Raw genomic sequence first — 23,121 nt, forward strand, 5'->3', positions numbered from 1 at the left:
TCCTGATCTGTTAAGACATTACTGAATGACTCCTGGAAGCCCTAGTTACTCACACAGGCTCATTGTAAGCACCTCAGCCTCTCATACAATACACCAAATGATTAAACTTTACCTGAATAAATTCCTAAGTACCAGTTAAGATCTAGCTTCTCGGTTACATTTCCTCCTCCATTTACAGTGACATTTAGCATACTTTGTTTGTTTGCCCTATGGAACATGGGGAGAAAAAAATATTAAGCTATATATGAAATTTAGATAAATACATTTTTTTAAAAATGAACCACAATTTGGGAGAAACGCTTCATGCTGGAAAATGATTCTCAGCTCACTTAGTCTTGTGTATATCTACCTTATAAAAATTCAATTTAAATCACAACTTTCAGTTCCCGAAACTGTCTGTGAACATGATGCCGCGGATCAGACATGGGTGGAGACCACCGCAGTTTACACTCCACCAGCAAGCACTCTAATTTTTCTTCGGGTAAACGAAGTGAGGATTAGAAGAGAAGGATCAACAAACACCTCCCTCTAACTCTATGGAAAAGCGAGTCTTCTTACTGATTTTGGAGTATTTCATACATCAGACCAGAAATAACTTACCAGTATGAAAGCCACCAATCTTGAAGCACATAGGCAACCTAGGAGGGGAGAAACAACAAAGACAAAAATCAAACTTGGGCATGACTTACCAACTCAAAACTCTCAATCGCTAACATGGACAACCGAAAGAAAGCCCTCAAAGCCGGGCGTGGTGGCTCATGCTTGTAAACCCCAGCACTTTGGGAGGCTGAGGCAGGCGGATCAACTTAAGGCCAGGAGTTCGAGACCAGCCTGGCCAACATAGTGAAACCCTATCTCTACTAAAAATACAAAAATTAGCCTAGCTGGGCATGGTGGCACATGTGCCTGTAGTCCCAGCTACTCCGGAGGCTGAGACAGGAGAATTGCTTAAACCCCAGAGGCAGAGGTTGAAGTGAGCCAAGATCGCGCCACTGCACTCCAACCTGGGCAACAGAGCAAAACTCCATCTCAAAAAAAAAAAAAAAAAGAAAGAAAGAAAGAAAGAAAGAATAAAAGGCTCAGAGAACTCGCATAGTTCTTCCAGCTCAGGTCTGTGCCAAGCCCAAACTCCCAGATATCAAGGGTTCAAGAAAATGCATATTCCATTTTAAAATCATTGAAAGATACCCTTTTTTCGCAGGTCTTTGTAACGGACATGGAACACCAGTAGGCAGCCCTCACTTTGTTCCCCAAAGACAGCACATTTCAATTCAGACCCCAAGTGAACTGCAAGATGCAGTCATAATAGCATAAACATAGGTACTGTAAATATCATTTTGAGGGCGCAAAACAAATGTCATTATTTACCTGAGCTGCAGTGTTTAGGAGAATAAGGAAAATGAAGACAATCCAGTGAGCACCAGCTCTGAAGTAATTCTTATAGGCCTGAAAACCAACTTTTCCTTCAGAACGGTTCTCCTCTGATAGTGTAACTGGGACATTCTCTGTCTGCAGAGGAAAAAAGGTGGTAAGAGACAAAACAGTATACAAAACTGTTCCCAAAGATGACAATGCACTCTGTTGACAAAGCTGTGGGGAAACAGGCAGAAGTCCAAAATGATCCATCTCCTGTGGAGAAGGGTGTGGAAATAGCTAGCCAAACTATACATCCACTTATTTTTTATTTATTTAATTTTTTTTTGACTCAGAATTTTGCTCATGTTTCCCAGGCTGGAGTGTAGTGGCGCGATCTTGGCTCACTGCAACCTCTGCCTCCTAGGTTCAAGCAATTATCCTGCCTCAGCCTCCTGAGTAGCAGGGATTACAGATGCCTGCTACCACGCCTGGCTAATTTTTTGTATTTTTTAGTGAAGACAGGTTTTCACCATGTTGGCCAGGCTGATCTGGAACTCCTGACCTCAGGTGATCCTCTCACCTCGGACTTCCAAAGCGCTGGGATTGCAGGCATGAGCCACCACACCCAGCTATATGCACTAATCCTTGGACCCAGCCATCCCACTTTCAAGGTTCTACTAGAGATAAGGAAATATCATTTGGACATTGTGGCGTGGCTTGCTGGAAGGATGCCATCAGGATGTTCAGCACTTACCTAGCACACCCAAATTCAAGTGTCAATACAGAAACTTGTTCCAAAATCATATACAAAAAGATATGGAACTCTCAACTGCATCACTCAAGATGGAAACATAAAAGAGCAGGGGGTCAAAACATGAGCTCAACACAGTAACTGGGGTCAAGCAGTGAGTCTCAGTAACCAGAGTTTGGAAAGGAAGGGATAGCATATGATCCTAATCTATTTGGTTCCTGAGTTTCAGAAATTGACTCCTGATAATTTGGCATGTGAGGGCCTAATCTGAATATCTGCAAGAATCCTTCAGTCTCCTGGATTTGGATAGTCAGGGTTTGTGTGGCAAGGAATATCTATGCTTTTAAGTGAGCTCTGGTACATTTCTGCCCGGAGGACTTAGAAGGCATGAGATTCACATACTCTGAAGATGTATTGAGCAGCTCTATGCTGGCCACTGGGAACACCAAGGTGAGTAAGATGCAGCTCCTATTCTTGAAAGGTAAAGAAGGAAGTTGGGCTGCTGTGTGTCAGGAACTGTTGGGTCTTTGCACATGCTACTTCTGGCCTAACTAACATAAACCATCTGACAACAGGGCAAAATACCTCCATCAGCCACCTGCAGCATCAGAACATTCCAACATACAGGAAAAGTGGCTAATTTCATGTGGCCCACAGCAGGACTTTCTCTAAGGGGGTCTTCAAATTATGCCTCCAGATGCAAAGAGAAGTCGGGGGCCACCAGACTAAGTAGGATTTCACTACAGTAAATTCAAGAATTGTAGTATTAGTGTGAGTCACACACAGCTTAGGACTTGCACCAGCATACACACCCGCTACTCACCTCCTTGACATTCCCCAGCCTACATACAAAGGATAACTCCAACCAGGGTGGTTTGCCTTGGTTCCGTTTTAATCTACCAATATCATGGAATAGAGCCCTGAAACCACAGAATCCACTTTGGGACAAAAGATGAAGCTTTGAACAGAGTAGACCAAAGATCCATAAGGCCATTAACAGTGAACAAAACCAGGCCATGTTGTAACAGGAGGTGAACTCACATCTTGGCTCTCCAGAGCACCATCTTTCAAGGAGGGTCTAGAAGATTGTTGAGACCAAACCGAAGACTCTGAGAAGGTACGATTCCTTAGTGTGGGAGTTCCTGGAACTGGAGGTTGTTCACTTTCCTCATTATCCTTCTTTAAAAGGGAGCCAAAATCTATACCAGATTTTAGGAACTCAGTGTAAGTCCCCTTCTGCACCATTTTACCCTAAAATAAAAATAAAGAATTTCAGAGAGATACATGTGCAGGTGATAATGTTAACCTAATCTAATTCTAATCCAGAAAAAGTAACTGATCTTAAGTTATGATTATACTTAGGTCCGGAATCCTAGTTGACAAATCTAATACAATTCAACTTGATACACAACTGAGTGTTCTGTTCTCAGCCAGACTCTGTGTTAGGTCCTGAAGAATATTTTTAAAATGGTAATAGTGTGTTACAAATGGCGATTATTATCACACAGATGTTGGTGACCGTATTGGTAGTCTTATTACAGAACATGAAAACTGTGATAAACCTTATGCAATAAGAATTGAAGGAATGAGTAAATTGAGGAGGATATTCCAGGAAAGAAACCTAACACTGATAGGGAGGTAGGAACAGGCATATCTGCACAGGTAGGAAGCACTCCACAAGCCTCCACTGGCCATGGGCCCTGCTGGAAAAAGGCGTGTGGGAACCAGACTTGGACATAGACCCCATGAACTGCACCTTCACGGTCTTTACTCTAAAATTGCCCCACAGGCCAGGTGCAGTGGCTCACACCTGAAATCCCAGCACTTTGGAAGACCAAGGCAGGTGGATCACCTGAGGTCAGGAGTTCGAGACTAGCCTGGCCAACATGATGAAACCCCACCTCTACTAAAAATACAAAAAAATTAGCCGGGCATCTGTAATCCTAGCTACTCGGGAGGCTGAGGCAGGAGAATCACTTGAACCCAGAAGGCGGAGGTTGCAGTGAGCAGAGATCAAGCCACTGCACTCCAGCCTGGATGACAAGAGCGAAACTCCATCTCATAAATAAATAAATAAATAAATAAATAAATAAATAAATAAATAATTGCCCCAAAGACTCAGGGAGTTCCTAACTGAAAATTCGACATTCCATGGGACACAACCTTGCACAGTTTTCTCTCCTTACAAAGTCATAGAAAATAATGTACAAATATCTTTACTATTTGTGTACCCCATGAAATGAGACCCAACTGATTTCCTCAAACAGCAGCAAACAAAATATTAGGCAAACTCCCAGAATACAAAACAAATCAAAGGAGAGCAGCTCCTGGCTAAGGCAAGTCAGGTGGGGGAAGGTGGCCAGGACCCTCCCTGCTACCCCAATCCTCCCCACCCCCAAAAGGTGGGTCCACTGAGGAAAATCCAACGACACCTTGGGCCCTTTGGACCAGTTTGATAACTGGAGAATTCAAAAATGCTTCATGATACATTGTGTCTTCTTCCACACAGGAGGTAAAAGTGACACACCTAGTTTGATAAAATGACCACTTTTCACATAGTATCTGTAAGACACACAAGGAAACTCCTACTGGTACTGAGATGGCAATTTTCCTCAGAAGCCGAGTACTGAGGAGCAATGCAGAGTGGGTTCCGAGGGGGAACCGTGCTCTGTCTGCTGTTAGGGAAGGGGCTGGGTCGACAGCAAGAAGCAAGAATGGACACACATTCATCCTGGGTGCCCACCAGTGGAAAAATGGTTTGTGTGTGTGTGGTAGGGTCTCAGTCTGTTGCCCAGGCTGGAGTGCAATGGCGCGATCTCGGCTCACTGCAACCTTCGCCTCCCAGGTTCAAGTGATTCTCCTGCCTCAGGCTCCTGAGTAGCTGGGATCACAGGCAGCGCCACCAGGCCCAGCCAATTTTTTTGTATTTTCGGTAGAGATGGGTTTTCACCATGTTGGCCAGGTTGGTCTCAAACTCCTGACCTCAAGTGATTCCCCCCGACACCCTGACCTCCCAAATTGCTGGGATTACAGGCATGAGCCACCGCGCCTCGCCAAATGGTTGTTTTGGAGAAAGATTATTCTACCACCCACAGACTTTACTCTAATGTACCAGCATTCAGGTTTTGCCACACTAGTCTCAGCCCTCTGCATAAGAAATTACTTGTTTTCAAGTTTGAGGAACCCAGGCTCCCTATTCCTGGGGGAGTGGGGAAGAGCCAGCACACGGAACCACTTCTGAAGAGGCAGCAGTTCTGCCTTCGATAATCCTCTTAAGGGTGAGAATTCACTTGCCGGGACTTCAGTGGACAGATTCCTCACTGTTCTTTAGGCAGCAAGGAGGGGCTTACACACAAGACTTGCAAGAGCTTTGCTATCATTATATACCCCGTTTGTTGCAATAATGTGAAATTTATCTCCCTTGGAGAACGGTGCACACAGATCTTATAAAATATAATTAACACTCGTTTTTGTTATTTCCATCGTTTTATTAAGAAATTGCAGGAGGAGAAACATTAAAACATTTGAAGACACTAAGCGGGTTTCAGACCCACAATCAGGAATTTGACCAGGGCCTGGAACAGAGAAGGGTTAAGGACCAGGGTACTGAGGCAAGAGGCAACAAGCCAAGGAGTGCTGCATGAAACCACCGCTGGGCTGAGAAGTTCTCACTAACCTCCATGTCCCCGGCCACGCTAGCTCTTATAGGTTGAATGGTGACCATGACCCCCTAAAAAGATATGTTCGAGTCCTAAATCCTGTTACCTGTGAATGTGGCCTTTTTTTTCAAAACTGGATTTTTGCAGATACAATCAAGACAAGATGAGGTCATACTGGAGTAGGGTGGGCCCTAGGTCCAGTGACTGATGTCCTTATAGGAAGAAAGCCAGAGAGACACAGCGACAATGCCATGTGACAACAGAGGCAGAGACTGAAGGGCTGCACTGCCAGCCAAGGATCAACAGTGAGTGCCAGCAAAACCCCAGAAAGTGGGAGAGGCGAGGAAGGATTCTCCCCTGAAGCCTTCAGAGAGCGCGGCCCTGCGGACACCTTGATTTTGGACTTGCAGCCTCAGAACAGTGAGACAATACATTTCTGTTGTTGTAAGCTGCCTAATGTGTGGCACTTTGTTCTGGCAGCCCTAGGAAACTGACACACTAGACCAACCCCTTATTTCTGTCTTGTGAACCACTAAGACTTCAAATTACTTCTGCTGTAGCTCCTCCAGCCAACAACAAAGAGGATCTCTTAAAATCACAGATCAAACCATGTCACTCCACTGCTCTGGACTGTCCAGTAGCCTCTGTCCTAGTTCCAGGGCCTCTGACAACTGCTCTGAGCCCACCTTTCTCCAGGCTCTCCCTGGCTTGCTCTGCTCCTCCCTGATGTTCCTGTAAATGCACCAGGTAACTTCCAGCTTTAGGACCCCACTGCCAGTCCCCTGCCTCAGATGCCCTCCCCAGGTGACCGCATGGTCAGCACCTTCACGTCACTGTACCTCAAGTCCCAGCGAGGCAACCCCACCCCTCCATTTCCTTCCTTGCATCTATCTCCAGGAAGAATGTCAGCCCGACGATGGCAAGGACTTTGTCTTACTTATAGCTATACCAGCTCTCACACATATCAGGCACTCAAAAATTCCTGTGCAGTGACACTAACTGCTGGCTATTCCAGGAAAGTGGGTGCTGTGACTAGGGGTTGCTCAGTTATCCAACTGTGTTGCTGCTATTATTATTATTTTTTAATTTTTATTTTTTTGAGACAGAGTCTCACTCTGTAGCCCAGGCTGGAGTGCAACGGCATGATCTCGGCTCACTACAACCTCCGCCTCCCGGGTTCAAGTGATTCCCCTGCCTCAGCCTCCTGAGTAGCTGGGACTACAAGTGTGCACCATCATGCTGGGCTAATTTTTTGTATTTTTAGTAGAGACGGGGTTTCACCGTGTTAGACAGGCTGGTCTTGAACTCCTGACGTCAGGTGATCTGCCTGCCTCGGCCTCCCAAAGTGCTGGGATTACAGGCCTGAGTCACTGTGCCCAGCCATTTCTGCTATTAATAGAAGAGGATCTTTAGCCAAACTATGCATGACAATTAAAGGGATACAAACAGGTCTTAGAGTCTGTAATTTCCAAATAATACAATTTGAATTAAGTCATGGAAGAGGTAAACAAAAAGTTCTAAATTAAAACAGCATCATTTTCTTTAACAATGTAGTAACCTTGAGGTAGCAATTTTACATACTTTACGGTAATATGGTTTAGCATGTAATAATGACATTTCTACAAGTCTTTTGAGTTAATACTTAAAAACATGAATCCCAGCTCTGAGAAGAAAGGAACATGAAATGGAGGAAGAAGAAGGGGATTCAACACACCCAAGTACTTGCAAGTTCGGGAGACCTCTAGAAACTACTTACATCTTTCAATATCAGAATCTGACTTGCAGCTTTGAGGTACTGCAACTGATGAGTCACTAAAATTGTGATCTTCTCATGCAAAATTTGACAAATACACCTATAAATGTAAAAGGCACAGGGTGAAAAAATGCATGAATGGGGTGCTCCACATTGAAAAACATACATTTTGAAACCGTAGTCAAAGACAACACAGTAGTCAAAGATCTAGAGGTTAAATACAAACTAAATACAAATATAAGCCAATAAAGCCGGCTAGGTCCTCAAAACCACTAGCAGCAAATACGAGCCTTGCTGTGGTGAAATCCTCAAAAGTTTTCTGGGAAGGAGGCAATAAGTGTAATTTTTTTTCCTAAAACTTAGTTTAACATAGACATTCAAAAATTTGACTTAACTAAAACACTAATTATTTTATTGCCGTGTAGGATTGCAGGGGAGAAAGAAAGATCGAGGTCACGTAACGACGCGGCATTTTTCTTGGACGGTTTCTTAGATGATAATTTATAATGCACATATCAACGCCCCCCCTCCACCCCCCGCAAAAAGGCTTAGATTCTTGGTAACCTTTGCCAGAGTGCATTTTCCAGACTCTTCTTCAAAAATAATACTAGATACGAAAACAAATGCTAGTGACATGTGACTCTCCACAGTATTCTTGGTCTCATCCAGGAAGCAAAACTTCTCTCATTAGTCCTAAACAGTCTGAATAAGAAAATGGAAAAACAGAATCCAAACAGTCCAAACCATATGGCTCAAAGATAAGACCCACCTCAGTATTCAACCATCAAGTTTTCTGACGTTTGTTTGTTTTCTACGGTACCCACTCAAAGTTCTCCTACATTGTAAACGTAGACTCCTGGGAGCTACAAAAAAAAAAAATTAGCCGGGTGTGGTGGCACACACCTGTAGTCCCAGCTAGAAGGGAGGCTAAGGTGGGAGAATCACTTGAGCCCAGGAGGTGAGGCTACAGTGAGCCGTCATCACACCACTGCACTCCAGCCTGGTTGACAGAGTAAGACCCTGTCTCAAAAAGAAAAAAAGGAGAAAAAAAAAAAAGAAAAAGAAAAGAAAAGCATTAATCTGTAACAAGGGCCAAGAACATAACTCATGCTCAATAAGTGTTAGCCCTGTCCTCCAGTCTTCCTCATATGCAGCCACTGCTTTTAGAAATTCAGGACTGAGAAGTCATAAGCAAGTATTTTAGAGACAGTGCCTGTGATCAGAACCACAACTCCAGACTGCAGATATGTAAACTATCACTTCATCCTTTACGTCCAAAAGGATTATTTTTTCCCCTTTCACATATCTTAGTTTGGCTTATTTCAAAACTAAGTTGTTCAATCTAGTATACCTCTTCAGGTTTAGTACTTATACCCCTCTTCAGGTTTAGTACTAAAGCTTTTAATGAAACTGTTTCCCTTTATATCAAGATTGGCTGCCATTAGTCCTTTTATATACATATCTAAAGGGAGATGTTAATGATCAAATCTGATGGGTGCTATGTCCAGTATCAGCCAACTCAAAGGTTTCAAAATGTTTTCTTCCTAACATCTTCCATTGTAGATGAGATAATAGAAATAATTACACTAACATTGTAATTGATGGCTTGAAATTTTTTCTAAATTATGCTTCTTAGGCAAATCTCAAAAAATACTTTCCAAATTATTAAGAGTAAAAATCTTCCAGTCATGCCATAAAACAAACAAATAATAAGTGATTGATGTAGCAATGAGCTATTTAACTCTAATCCTACATAAAGACTACATTAAGAGGCCAGCCACGGGGGCTCACGCCTATAATTCCAGCACTTTGGAAGGCTGAGGCAGACAGATCACTTGAGGTCGGGAGTTCAAGCAACACGGTGAAATCCCATCTCCACTAAAAATACAAAAATTAGCTGGATGTGGTCACCCATGCCTGTAATCCCAGCTACTCGGCTGGCTGAGGCACAAGAATTGCTGGAACCCAGGAGGCCTGCAGTGATCCAAGATCATGCCACTGCACTCCAGCCTGGGCAACAGAGCGAGACTCTGCCTCAAAAAGGAAAAAAAAAAAAAAAAGACAACATTAAGAGCTGACACATACAATGTTGGAGGTGACACAAGTGAGAAAGATATAGTCAGTTGGTGCAGTGGCTCACACCTATAATCCCAGCACTTTGGGAGGTTAAGGCAGGAGGATCTTTTGAACCCAGGAGTTAAAGGCCAGTCTGGGCAACATGGAGAGATCCCATCTCTACAAAAAAACACGAAACTTAGCCAGGAGTGGTGGTGTGCACTTGTAGTCCCAGCTACTCGGGAGGATCACTTGAGCCCAGGAGGTAGAAGTTGCAGTGGGCCGTGATCATGCCATTGCACTTCAGCCTGGGTGACAGGGCAAAACTCTGTCAAAAAAGGAAGGAAGGGATGGAGGGAGGGAGAGAGGGACAGATACAGTCACTACCTTCATTCATTCAGTTAAGATACATTTGCTGAGCACTGACGAAGTACCAGGGACTACTCTAAGTGATGAGGATACATCCACTGGTCAAGCAAACAGACAACACCCTGAGTCGTGTAGGGACACTCACTACACAAACACAGAAAACACACTATTGGATAGTAAAGTAAACCATGAAGAGACAGCCAGGCAAAGGTTGTACTTTAGAGGGAGTGGCCAGGAAAGTCCTCTCTGCAAGGAGGTGATGTATGAGCCATGAGACTATCTGGGGGAAGCATTCCTGGCAGATACAGCAGGTGCAATGGTCCCGGGGCACAAATGCGCTGTGCAAAGGCACCTTCATGCATTCGCAGTCTAGTGCGGGGGCTGGAGGGAAGAACACATAGGTGGATCAAGAGCAGCTCATTGAGGGCTGTGGGAAGACAGAGAAAGCGCCATGCCCTCCGAGGAGCAGAAGAGAAAGGCAGGAGGTAGGATCTGTGTCTTTCATTTTTCTCTTTTGCCCAGGCAAACTATCCCTGGTTGTCCAACGGCAGGAAAAATACCCTTACAGACAGGCAGACGTGAGAAATTCACACCTCCTTCCAGGCACCCCAAAGAAGTGTGCATGGCTGGAGGACTGGTCTTGCATGGCAAGGGTTGGAAAGGTGAATGGGGCAGACTGCAAAGGGCAATTTGCCATTCGAGGACTTAGAACTGTAGCTTAAAAGTAGGGGAGTCCTAGAGGACCTGAAAGAGGGAAGGTGAACTAGTGCTGTGCCTGAATGTTTGTGGCCCTCCCCAAATTCCTACTGAACCCTAATCACCAATGTAATGGTATTAGGAGGTGAGGCCTATTTCATGAGAATCTGCCAACACAAATGGTATTAGTAGAAGGGGCCAGCCCAGGGAAGCTGCCGTACCCCTTCCACAGTGACAAGACAGCTGTCTATGAACCAGAGCGTGAGCCCTCTCCAGGCACCAAAACTGCTGGCGCCTTGATCTTGAATCTTGTCCTCCAGAACTGTAGAAACAATTTTCTATTGTTTATATGGAGTACCTAGTTTATGCTATTTTGAATCAGCAGCCTGAATGGACTAAGACAAATAGGTAGGCAACAGTGTGGGAGATCTGATTAGGAGACTCAAAGAGGCAGGGGTCTGAGAATTTGAGGCTTTCTAGAACACAACCACATCTATAGCAGGCAACAAATTGGATTAGCATCCTTTAATCTAAGTGACCCTCACTTTTTGTATGTGATAAAATCCACTTAGTGTTTGCAACATATAGTTGTAAAACACAACTCTTAACAACTCTCGATATATATTCATGATTGAAGTAAAACTGTTAATGGCAAATAGAAGCGTAATTCATTCACTTTTAATACAAAACACTTCACATTTCTAAGCTTCAACACAACCGCCATCTTTCATAGCATATTGTTCAATCCAATTTTCTAACTCGTTGAGAACATTCTCCAGTTGCTGCTGAGTGATTTCCTAAATTGCATTCGTGCTCCCTGCCCTAAGTTTCCCCAAAGAATGTGATTCTGATTAGCAAACAACAATTTTAACAAGCTTGCTTCTAACAAGCATATATCCAAAGTCATTAATCCTTAAAGGTGCAAGAGGACTTTATAAATACCTCCTGTGTTCAAATGAAAATCTGAGGGAGCTTGTGCGATACGCACACTGATACTCAGCAATGAAAATACCTTCCTCCTTCCCCGCGGCGACTCTAAACAGCGTCCCACCGGGAATTGTTGTTTGAGTGATAAAGAACTGGTGGGGCCTCGCGCAAGACTCAAGCAAGCCACAGAGGCCCTTCTCGGCGAAATGGAAAATTCATCAAGGCACAATGAGGAGGGAGCAGGAAACGAGGCTCTGATCAGACTGCTGCGGCAATGCCAAGTGCCAGCTTATCCTGCACTCTGCATTCAGAAAGATTCAATGCTGCCATCCACGTTTTTTTTGGTTGTGGAAAAATAGACAAGACATAACATTTACCATTTACACCATTTTTAATTGTATAGCTTGGTCGCGCTAAGTACATACACACCATTGTGCAACCATCACCATCATACACATCCACTTCATCATCCCATACCAGGCACATTTTGCATACGCACTCTGGTGGGTAAACGTTCAGGAACCCACGTAGAGCCCCATGCTCAGTGGATGACTTCATGTCCAAACCCCTGGAATCCAGAGCCCAGAGATGAGTTACTCTCACACAGCCGACTCGCTATCCACTTTGCTATCCAGGACTTGTTATGGACTGAACCATGCTCCCCTCAAAGTTCCTATGTTCCAGCCCTCACCCTAGCACCTTAGAAATTGAACAGAGAACCTTTTTTAAAATTTTTTTTTTATTATTATTATTTTTGAGACAGAATCTCACTCGTCATCCAGGCTGGAGTGCAATGGCGCTATCTCGGCTCACTGCAACCTCCACCTCCTGGGTTCAAGCAATTCTCCTGCCTCAGCCTCCAGAGTAGCTGGGATTACAGGCACCCGCCACCATCCACCACTGATTTTTGTATTTTTAGTAGAGATGGGGTTTCACAACGTTGGCCAGGCTGGTCTCGAACTCCTCAGGTGATCTGCCTGCCTCGGCTTCCCAAAGTGCTGGGATTACAGGCATGGGCCACAGTGCCCGGCCAACACAGAACCTTTAGAGAAGTAATTACACTAAAATGAGGCCATGAGGGTGGGCCCTACTCTAATCTGACTGGTGTCTTTTCAGGAAGAGGAGATTTGGATACAGAGACACAAGGAGAAAAGGGTGAGAAGGCAGCCATCAGCAGGCCAAGAAAGCCCTCGGGAGGAGCTGCACCTGCAGATGCATTGATCTCACACATGCAGTCTCCAGAACTCTGCAGAAACAACCTGCCGCTGTGGAAGCCCCCCAGCCTGTGGCATTTTGTGAGGGCAGCCCTGGCTGGCCAACACAGGACTTCCAGAGCTTTCTCTCACGGTACCTTCTCTATCCCCCACCACAGGAACAGGTGCCTGCCTGCTGTCCTTCCCACAGGCCTCACTCCTTCCCGTCTGCACACCTCTGCTTCTACTATTTCTTTCAAAGGAATTGAATCCTACTCTCAGCCACCACAAACCCTTACCAGCCTGCAGGACCACAGGCTACTTCCAGCCAAGCCCGGCCCTCAGTGACCTTTCCAATCTCTGCTGCCCACTTCTTCCATTTAAAAAAAAAGATTGTCGTATGCCAGGTGTAGGGGCTCACACCTGTAATCTCAGCACTCCAGGAAGCCGAGGGCAGGGGGGGGGGGGGGGGGGGGGTGGATCCCTTGAGCCCAGGAGTTCGAGACCAGCCTGGGCAACATAGGGAGACCAGCCTAGACAACATGGCAAAGCCCCCTCTCTTCAAAAAAACACTGAATGAGCTGGGCATGGTGGTGCTAGCCTGTAGTCACAGCTACCCGGGAGGCTGAGGCAGGAGAATCTCTTGAACCCAGGAGGTCGAGGCTGCAGTGAGCTGAGAATGCACCACTGCACTCCAGCCTGGGCAACAGAGCGAGATCCTATCTAAAAAAAAAATAATAATAAAATAGATTGTCCTATATTGAAATCCCCTAAGCCTTGGGGTCTGTTGAACTTTTCCCATGCACTTAGTCTTGATCCATGCAGAGACAAATTCCTTATGGGCAAGAATGAAATCTGAACTTGTCTCTCTCTCACTCAGCCCAGCATGGGTGCTTATCTTCTCTGTGGCTGACTGCCCTCCTCTGCAAGCGAAGATGTTTCATGCAGTAGCATCTGCAGGAGCATCTACCTCAGTGTGCGCAGAAGGGTTACAATGAGTGGGAAAGGCTCACTGACTTTAACAAGGCGAAAAACAGGAAGCTGACTGTGGGGCAGATGTGAGTGCTGTTTTGGCAAAACCAGTTCACAATGCTTTCAAAAAGGCCAGTCTAGACTATGTAGGAAGTGTCAGTCGGCACACATGAGTTTATAGAATATACAGAAAAGATTCCAGAGTAGTTCTACCTCCATGGCTCAGTGTCTAAGCAAGAGCCAAAGAAAGAAAATCCCAGAAACACCACGTAAGAGTTGGGAGGGAAGCCAGATTCTAGACAACTAGTTTCAAAGGCAAGCCAGGCCTACATGCCTGTGGGTTTTAAGTGTTCACTCTGGTAAGAATCCATGAAGCAACATTAGATTCTTGAAACCACAGTCTACTATGGAGCAAATCATTCTTAAATTCTAGATTTTACTAGTAGGTTATCTCCAAACTGACAGATTAGTATGTAAAGAGCAACAAAGCCTTCCCAAGAAAGCCCTATGTTGGTCCCAAGGACGTCACTTCTAACCTGTCATAGAGAAATGATGGAGGAAAAGAGCTGAAAGACAAGGCTCAGGTTGCCAAGTGCCACCCTTCCATTGAAAAATGGAGTACCATCTTTCCTATCTCCGGGGCCTGGTCCATCAGCAGTTTCTTGGTTATCAACTGTAATTACTAGTAGGGGAAAACTTGCAAAATTTGCCATCTGTTTCTCAACTCCCTAAAACATGATACACTCCACTCACTGCAACACACTGAAATCACTTTGTGTATTTTCCTACCTTGACCTTGTATTTCTGCAAAATTTCTCTAAAATGGATCTTCAGGGAAGCAGGGGACAGTGTGGGGAGGGGAGCGGACACCAGAGTAGGATGAGCTGAAAGCCATAAAGGCTTTCCTGAGCCAACTCGAAATGGCTCTGGAAAAGCAGAAATGACTTAAGACACAAACACACTCACAGTTCGAACAAGTGTCTGCTAACTTCCGCATCTACTGCACTGAGAGGATCGTCCAGGAGATAGATGTCAGCATCTTGATACACTGCTCTAGAAAATACAAAGAGGTATCAGACTCTCACCCAGGAACATGACAACTTTCAACAACTGGGATGTTCATTCAAATGCCAACAGAATAACCCAAGAAGGTGCTTCACACAGGACGCAATACACAGTAAGCAGGTCCTATGTGCTCACCACCACTGGAAGGTATCAAAAGACACCGGCATAGTGGCTGCTGAAATGCAACTTACCTTGCAAGGTTTACCCGTGCTTTCTGCCCTCCACTCAGCGTGGTTCCCCGATCTCCTATCACAGTCAGATCACCATCCTCCAACAGCTGTAAATCCTGTATGGACAAAGGAAAGAAGGGGGGAAAAAGAGACTTAAAACATGTTCTTCCTCTGTTCTTTGTGTTCTTCCAAAGTTATCCTAAACTTTGCACATTAGTTCTTCAGAAATTTACATGTATTTGATCAACAGCAATGGAAATATTTCATAGTAACTAAATTGTAAGTTTGAACCTATCAAATACACAGTCAGGGCACGTTATCTATTTTAATGCTGTAGCTTTTCATAGCATTTATGCACTGAGCCATTTTAACAGAAATTTTTTGAGCAGCAACTCCTTGTGAATTCAGCAGCGAAAGAGTTTCCACAGTGAGTGACCTGACAATAAAAGATTGACACAAATGTAAGAGGTGATAAGTGCTAAGAAGGAGAAGGAAGCTGGCTTAGGGAGACAGAGTGACAGAGGGAAAGTCCACTTTATATAGGGAGGTCAACAAGGGCTCTGATCGAGGGGGTCTGAGCAGAGACCTGTCAGGGGATGGACTGGCTGGCACAGAGTGCAGGAAGAGTGCTCCATAGAGGAATGAGCAAGCACAAAACCCATGGGGTGATACGTGCCCAAGGTGTTCACAGAAGAGCAATATGGATGCACACGGAACTGCGAGCACAGGATGATGGCAGGGGAGGGCAGAGACAGAGGCAAGAGAAGCCAAGGGCTCACACCCAGGGAAATAGGAGGAAGGACATGATCTGATCAAGGCAATAATTGAGACAAGAAACAACAGTAGCCGGGACCGGAGTGGGGAACAAGGAAGTGAACATCAGTGGTCATGTGCTGAACAAATTTTAAAGGTAGCACCTATAGGATCTGCTGATGAGATGGGTTTGTGTTGTGATAGAAAAAGAGGAGGACTGCATTGGTTTTGGTGTAAGACAAGGGAAGAACAGGGTTACCATTTACTGAGCTGGGGGAAATGAGGGACGCAGATTCAAGAGATAAAATCAAAAGGTTGATTATGGCCAAACTGAAATGCTGACCGGCTATCCTGACTTGCGGCTGGATAAGTGAGTCTGGAGGTCTGTGCTGGAGACCCAACCGTGAGGGCTGTCAGCATAAAGCCACGGGACTTACTAAGGAACAACTGTGTCTTCACAAGCCATTTTGCGACTTTTGCCTCAGCTTTCCATTCTCAGAGAAGGGATAACACCCGCCCCATCTTCACAGTGATGCTTAAGGCATCACAATAGACTGACAGAAAAAAAACTGCAAAGAATAAGAGCAGAAAGAGCAGCCCAGTCAGGAAAAGCCAAAGGGAAAGGAGCAGAGTGCTCATGAGACACTGCACAGACTGGTTGCACTAAGTAGACTCTGGCTCCATGCAAGACCCCAAAAAACAAAAGCTAGGAAGGAAAACAAGTTTTTATTTGAGGATCCAACCAAAGTTATATTTAAAAATTATTTAAGAAATAAGTTGACAAAGCATAATACTTTTTTTAAAAAACATGACAAGAACATCCCTGAAAATAACAGGATAATGATCAGGTTTAAGTTACAGGACATTACATTAGAAATCTTTACTTGGATGGCCTATAATTATCACTAGACAGATCCTAGCATAGACAAAAGGTGTGGAGAACATCGCTGGGTATTGACTGAGCTGCATAAGCATCAACCTAGGACACTACAGAGATAGCCCTCTTACAGATCAAGGTGTCATTTCTTTGTCTCTACTCTGACAAAGCCGGGGAGACAAAGCAAATGGCACATTGAGATCTCCATGACAAGCAAATCCTCTGACCTCCCTAAGTTCTCATTTTATCTCTTTTACAAAATATCCTGGAGAAACAAGAATTAATAAACTCATAGAATGCCGGAACAATCTAAAGTAAGGGTATGAACTCTCTAAGTGAAAAAAGGATCTGAGTTCATTATCATTTGCTATTGATGACTATGACATATTTTCTGATCAAACCAACAGCAGGACCCCATTCATAGCATGAATCCCACTAAATAAAGTACATCACCAAATGGAAAAAAACAGTATTTCCATTGGAACCCACTCCCTGGCAGCCCACTAAGACACACAGGAGTCCCCTAATACTCCAATCTGAACCAGATGGCATCAAATGAAAGGTAGCAAGTGCCCCATTATGAAAATTCATTATTTCACGTTATCTCTTTGTTGAGCTCAGAAGTTACACTATCTCTTCCTTTCAGTTTTCATAAAAAGACAACGCGGCCAGGCACGGTGGCTCACGCCTGTAATCCCAGCAATTTGGGAGGCCGACACGGGTGGATCACCTGAGGTCAGGAGTTCAAGACCAGCCTGGCCAACATGGTGAAACTCCGTCTCTACTAAACATACAAAATTAGCCAGGCATGGGGGTGCATGCCTGTAATCCCAGCTACTTGAGAGGCTAAGGCAGGAGAATCGCTTGAACCTGGGAGGCAAAGGTTGCAGTGAGCGAGATCGCACCATTGCACTCCAGCCTGGGCAACAAGAGTGAAACTCCATCTCAAAAAAAAAAAGACAATGCACCAGTTAACACTATCTCTTCCTTTCAGTTTTCATAAAAAGACAATGCACCATTTTAAGACAGGGTCCCAGCCTTCCACACAAACACAAACACACATTGTTTACTTGGCCTCATTCCATTGCTGATGGTCTTTATATAATGTGTTAAGTTTCTGTGCCTTGATTTTACATTGTTTTGTTTTCATTCTCAAAATAGCATCAAGTTGTAGCAGAGCAATCTTAGCCATTTTCTAGAAAAGACACTAAAAATATCTGTCTCATTTCATGCAGACAGGGAATAGGGAAGGAGCTCTCTCCCCATGCCTGGTAGTAGCACTTTGAGTACTACAACGACCTTGAGTGTTGTTGACTTGGCAAACTATTTATGGACACGCCTCAGACAGGGAAAATATTTCAAAGGATCTGAAGTACAATCTGAGTCAGGCTAATTTCCTAGCCATGATTTTCTAGTTTGGCTAAAGGGAAACAGTTGAGCAGAAAGCAGAAGTGCTCCCAATGGGAGGAAGGTATCTCATGCACGTTAGGTACCACTCAGTAAAATTAACCAATTATTTAATCTACCACCACCTTTACTGAAATGCAGACACAGAAACTAGAGAAAAACCATGACGTGGCTATGTGGGTTTGACGCCATCTAACCAGAATCCTACCATGTGCACATCAACCATGGTGACACTAAAGGCAGAAAGACCACTGAGGACACTATGGGGATGGTCACAGGGGCCAGGCCTGAGGCCCCAGCACAAGAAGAGGCCCCAGAGTCAGAGAGCAGGGCTCTCCAGCTTTGGGCCACACCTTGCTTCCATTTGGAATGGCCCTTCCTGTCATAGCTTATCAACATCCTATTCTTCTTTCAGGGCCCAGCTCAAACTCTTCTATGAAACTAACCTGCAGTCCCCCAATCAGAAAACATCACTCTCTCTTCTAGGTTCCTAAGGCTTTGTTTATATTTCTTAGGAAGGACCTGCCATATTCTGCCTCTTAATGTTTATGTGTGTACTCAGCTTCTTGCTCCACAGGTCAGCTCCTGGATGTAAGAGCTATGCACCAACCACTGTTCCTGATGCCTGGTGTTATCTCTAACCTTCATGACAACCTGCCAAGTAAGTAGTGACCACACTTCACAGATGAGGAGACTGAGATGAAGTGAGAGCACGTAACTGGACTGAGGACTCTCAGTTAATAAAGGAAGGCTGGAGTCTGAACCAAGCTCATCTCAGTTCACAGCCTGTTGCCCTTTCATATCATGCTTCCCCAAGTGCTTGCTAGAAGTTACTTAAAGGCAATACTGAAACAACTCAGAACTCGAAGTCTCTCTATCCATATACAGCACTATCAGTTCATTTAGTCACCCTAGTTAGATTCACCTCATTGTATCCCTTTTGTACTCAGCTTTAAAAAAAAAGACAGGGTCTTGCTATGTTGCCTAGGCTGGTCTCATACTCCTGGCCTCAAGCAATCCTCCCACCTCAGCTACCCAAAGTACTGGGATTACAGGTTTGAGCCACCACGCCGGGCCCTCAGCATTTATTTCCTATTATGTCACTAAGGAGTGATATGGTTCTCCCAACTGAGAGATTAACAACAACAACAAAAAGGCATAACAACAGTTATTTTATGATTGTCAAGGCAATCTAAAAAGAAAATGTCCAAGTTGGCAGGAATGTGGCAAATATGAGAAGAAATTATAAGATAGTGGGTACACCAAAGGGGTTTGTAGAGTCAAGTGAGCTATATAGAAAAACATTAAACTCCAATTTATCAATTCCATGCCTTTTTGGATACACACTGCTTAAAAGTGCTCAAGGATTAAAAGAAACTATGCAAAGGGTGACATAATATTAATACATTGCATCTATTAGGGTAACAATATTTTTATTATTCTCTTATTTACTGTACTATGTATAGAAACCCTATATAAATATCAATTCAAATAATGGAAGTTATATACTCAGATACATTCTTTCAAGCATGTCACATTTCATGTGATTTTACCCAAAATTGGTGGCTCTTATAATTAAGAAGGCCTGTTATGTGCCTAGTAATCAGATGCTTTAAGTTCATGATCAAATCTTATCCTCACAATAGCCTATGAGGTGAATAGTTTATTATCTCTATTTTACAGATGACAAAACTGAGGCTTTCTAAGGTTCAGACGATTAGCTAAAATCACACACCTACTGAAGAGGAACTGAGACTCAATCCCAGAGCTGTCTGACCCCAAGGCCTCGGATTTTAACTACTACCCACTAAAGTATCTAACATTAGTATGTTGTTTCCTGAGGTATGTCCTGTCATTTGCTACGATATCTCTTTGAATAAATAATTAGCCTAAAGCAATACTGCTAAATGTGAATTACTACTTCCTATCTTATTATTTTATCTCAAATATATTTTTAGCTCGATGAACTTATAAATTTACTTCAACTGTATCTAGTACAATATATCTAGTTGCTATCAACATATCTGAGAAATCTTGTTAGTTCCTATTTTTTCCTCTAGGACTTTTTTTTTTTTTTTTGCGGGGGAGGGTGGCCAGGAGGGGAATGAGGAACTATATAAGGCAAAATCTTTTATTTATCTTATTAACTGATTTAGAGAAAAGGGCAACAGCTACTATTTACCAAAAACCTGGCATGTTTGCATTTTACAGACATTGCCTGCAGTCTTTATAATCCTGCTGTATCTCCCCCATTTAATAAGAAATGAAACAGAGGCCAAACACCCAGAGACGCTCAGGACCATTTCTGTCCAGCAGGTTTTGATTACACATGCAATCTCTGTACCTACAAGCCAGAATAATTCCAGTATTGCTATTCTCTATGGCCATCTAACACCCACCATTGACACGTGGATTTGAAAAGGAGTCGGCAAATGATCTCATAACTCATTAAGAGGATCCCTGGTTTCTTCCAGTCCCCTGCTAAACAGTCATAAATGGCATTTGAGAATGGTAGCAAAATTTCTTGGAAACCATCTCATCCCATGTCCTTATTTCTCAGCAGAGACATCAAAAGCCCAAGGCAAGTAATGTGACAAGTCCAAAGTGGACACCGAGCTGGTCGTGCGCAGTGGCTCATGCAAATAATCCCAGCATTTTGGGAAGCAAAAGCAGGTGGATCACTTGAGGTCAAGAGTTCAAGACCAGCTGGTCAACACAGCAAAACCCCATCTCTACTAAAAGTACAAAAAAATTAGCCAGGCATGGTGGCGCACACCTGTGACCCCAGTTACTCAGGAGGCTGAGGCAGGAGAATCACTGGAGCCTGGGAGGCGGAGGTTGCAATGAGGCGAGATTACACCATTAGACTCCAGCCTGGGTGACAGAGCGAGACTCCATCTCAAAAAAAACCCAAAGTGACAGCGAGCAAATGACAAAGCTGGGCCAGACTCCTGCTCTGTTCGACTTCTCCACCACCGGAGGCCCACCGTCCTACCGAGGATGGAACCATGCACAGGGGGCCAGCAGTCCATGCTTACACACATCCAGGAAGGAACCAAGAAGTCGCCATGCAGCCCAGCCCTGAGGGGACCCCATTGCCACTGGAGTCTGCCTGCCACGCAGAAGCCCGCAGGTGCCTGGGACACTATCCGAGTTACTGGGCCAGTCCTCAAAGGTGGCTACGGAAGAGGCTGAATGGCAGCCACTGTCCTAACCCCCACTTTCCCCCAGAGACTTTCTGATGTGGGAAGGAGCAAGGCAGAGCTGGGTGACCTGGGACCTGGAGTCTCATGTGGGTATCAGAAGCTGAACAGGTAAAAAGGGAAGGCTTGAAAAACATTTTGTCCCACATTCTACCTTTTTATCAATCACCTAATTGTTAAAATAGTTTTCTACCTTATAAACACCCCCAACTGAGAGGTGCCTGGCAGAGGGGAAAATGGAATCTGGAGCTAGGCAGGTATGGCTTTGAACTTGAACTGCAAATGTTCAAGTGAGTCATTTTATCTCTCCAACCCTCCACTTTACCAGCCAGAAGCAACATTCAACTCTTGAAACCACAGTCTTGAACAAATCATTCTTAAATTCTAGAGTTTACTAGTAGGTTATCTCCAAACTGACAGATTAGTAGGTAAAGAGCAACAAAGCCTTCCCAAGAAAGCCCTGTGTTGGTCCCAAGGACCTCACTTCTAACCTGTCATAGAGAAATGATGGAAGAAAAGAGCTGAAAGACAAGGCCCAGGTTGCCAAGTGCCACCCTTCCATTGAAAAATGGCGTACCATCTTTCCTATCTCCGGGGCCTGGTCCATCAGCAGTTTCTTGGTTATCAACTGTAACTACCAGTGGGGGAAAACTAGCAAAATTTGCCATCTGTTTCTCAACTCCCTAAAACATGATACACTCCACTCACTGCAACACACTGAAATCACCTTGTATATTCTCCTACTTTGACCCTATATTTCTGCAAAATTTCTCTAAAATGGATCTTCAGGGAAGCAGGGGACAGTGGGGGGACACCAGAGCAGGACAAGCTGAAGTATAGTAATTATTTTAGGGAAATGTTAGCAATTCTGTACAAACTTTGAATAAAATGAAAATTTTACTTTAAAAAAGCGAGGCTAGCAATATCAGAAAAATAAACAAAATGAGGATAGCAATAGCAAAGGCACTGGGAAATCATGGCAAAAGATTAAAACTTTACACAGCTTTGTGTGTGCATATGTGTGAGCGTGTGAGACAGAGAAAAAAAAATAAGACCTGGTAGGATCTGAATAACTAGGAGCTTGCCTTAGCGCATCTTTTCCTATATAGTGTATACTATTCAATAAAAATCTAGCTCATTACTGCTAACTTAATGTCATTTCCGAAAATGCATCATCTCTCATTAACAATAGTCCAGGATGAAGAAACAGCCCATTAAACAAGCAATGATTTCTCTATCCAAATCGCCAGCAAATACTACTCACCTGATTGACAGACTCTGATATTCCAGCCATTGTTCAAGCAAAATTACTCATTCCTCACAAACCTGGCTGGAAGCCTTCTGCATCACACCTGTGACAGTCTGTGGCGGCCTTTTCCAGACAGCATAAAAGAACAGTAGGATGTCCAGGCCACACTGCACAGGGCCTGGGGAGAGCCCTTTAATGCCATTATTCACTGATTTTTATGGCCCAAAGAAGGTAACATAGTATTTATCAGTATTTACCATTTTTTCTATCTTCTAGAACTTATAGCCCTCTATTAAGTATGCTCAGTTTTCATCAACTATCCACCAGGTTTATGAAAACCTCAGTGTACAATCAAACACTTCATCTTTTCTGAAAACAATCACTCTCTTGGTGAAATGATACACAATGAAAAATAAATTTTAAAACAGTTTCCTTTAAATAATAAATTGCACTGTAAATTTATCCATGTAACCAAAAACCACCCGTACCCCAAAATCTACTGAAACAAATTTTCTTTTTTAAAGGGAGTGGAGAAGGAAACCTGTGGTTTGAGAGGGACCCAAGCAGGAAACATCAGCCAAGTGCACGGTGCAGACATCTTCCGGAGTCTGACGCAAACCAATGGGTAATGAGATACTAAAGCACTGTAATCTCTGCCTAGCCGGT

The 23,121-nt window shown here is 44.0% G+C and overlaps 1 protein-coding gene across 7 annotated transcripts in view, besides 2 other annotated features; it reads right to left on the minus strand.

Annotated features, from left to right (window-relative positions):
* The window catches only part of ABCC4 (ATP binding cassette subfamily C member 4 (PEL blood group)), a 281,617-nt gene that overhangs the window by 143,175 nt on the left and 115,321 nt on the right, over window positions 1-23,121 (minus strand). For 6 of the 7 annotated variants that reach the window (NM_005845.5, XM_047430034.1, XM_047430035.1 and 3 more), the window contains 7 exons: window positions 14,988-15,082; window positions 14,698-14,784; window positions 7,523-7,619; window positions 3,149-3,358; window positions 1,369-1,509; window positions 601-638; window positions 113-207 (listed from right to left, as the gene is read on the minus strand). In NM_005845.5, coding sequence (NP_005836.2) covers window positions 113-207; window positions 601-638; window positions 1,369-1,509; window positions 3,149-3,358; window positions 7,523-7,619; window positions 14,698-14,784; window positions 14,988-15,082 — 763 coding nt within the window. The remainder of the gene's footprint in view (window positions 1-112; window positions 208-600; window positions 639-1,368; window positions 1,510-3,148; window positions 3,359-7,522; window positions 7,620-14,697; window positions 14,785-14,987; window positions 15,083-23,121) is intronic. The other variant, NM_001301829.2, reaches the window with a different exon arrangement.
* Window positions 11,434-11,935: an enhancer, noted in NCBI's record as "NANOG hESC enhancer chr13:95826697-95827198 (GRCh37/hg19 assembly coordinates)". NCBI's record gives its function as "activates a minimal SCP1, AML or CMV promoter by ChIP-STARR-seq in naive H9 embryonic stem cells {active_cell/tissue: H9 hESC(naive)}" and the evidence as "EXISTENCE:reporter gene assay evidence [ECO:0000049][PMID:30033119]".
* Window positions 18,563-18,612: an enhancer, noted in NCBI's record as "active region_7868". NCBI's record gives its function as "activates an Ori minimal core promoter by ATAC-STARR-seq in GM12878 lymphoblastoid cells {active_cell/tissue: GM12878}" and the evidence as "EXISTENCE:reporter gene assay evidence [ECO:0000049][PMID:35858748]".

Source organism: Homo sapiens, chromosome 13 (genome assembly GCF_000001405.40).
Source record: "Homo sapiens chromosome 13, GRCh38.p14 Primary Assembly".
Lineage (NCBI taxonomy): Eukaryota > Metazoa > Chordata > Mammalia > Primates > Hominidae > Homo > Homo sapiens.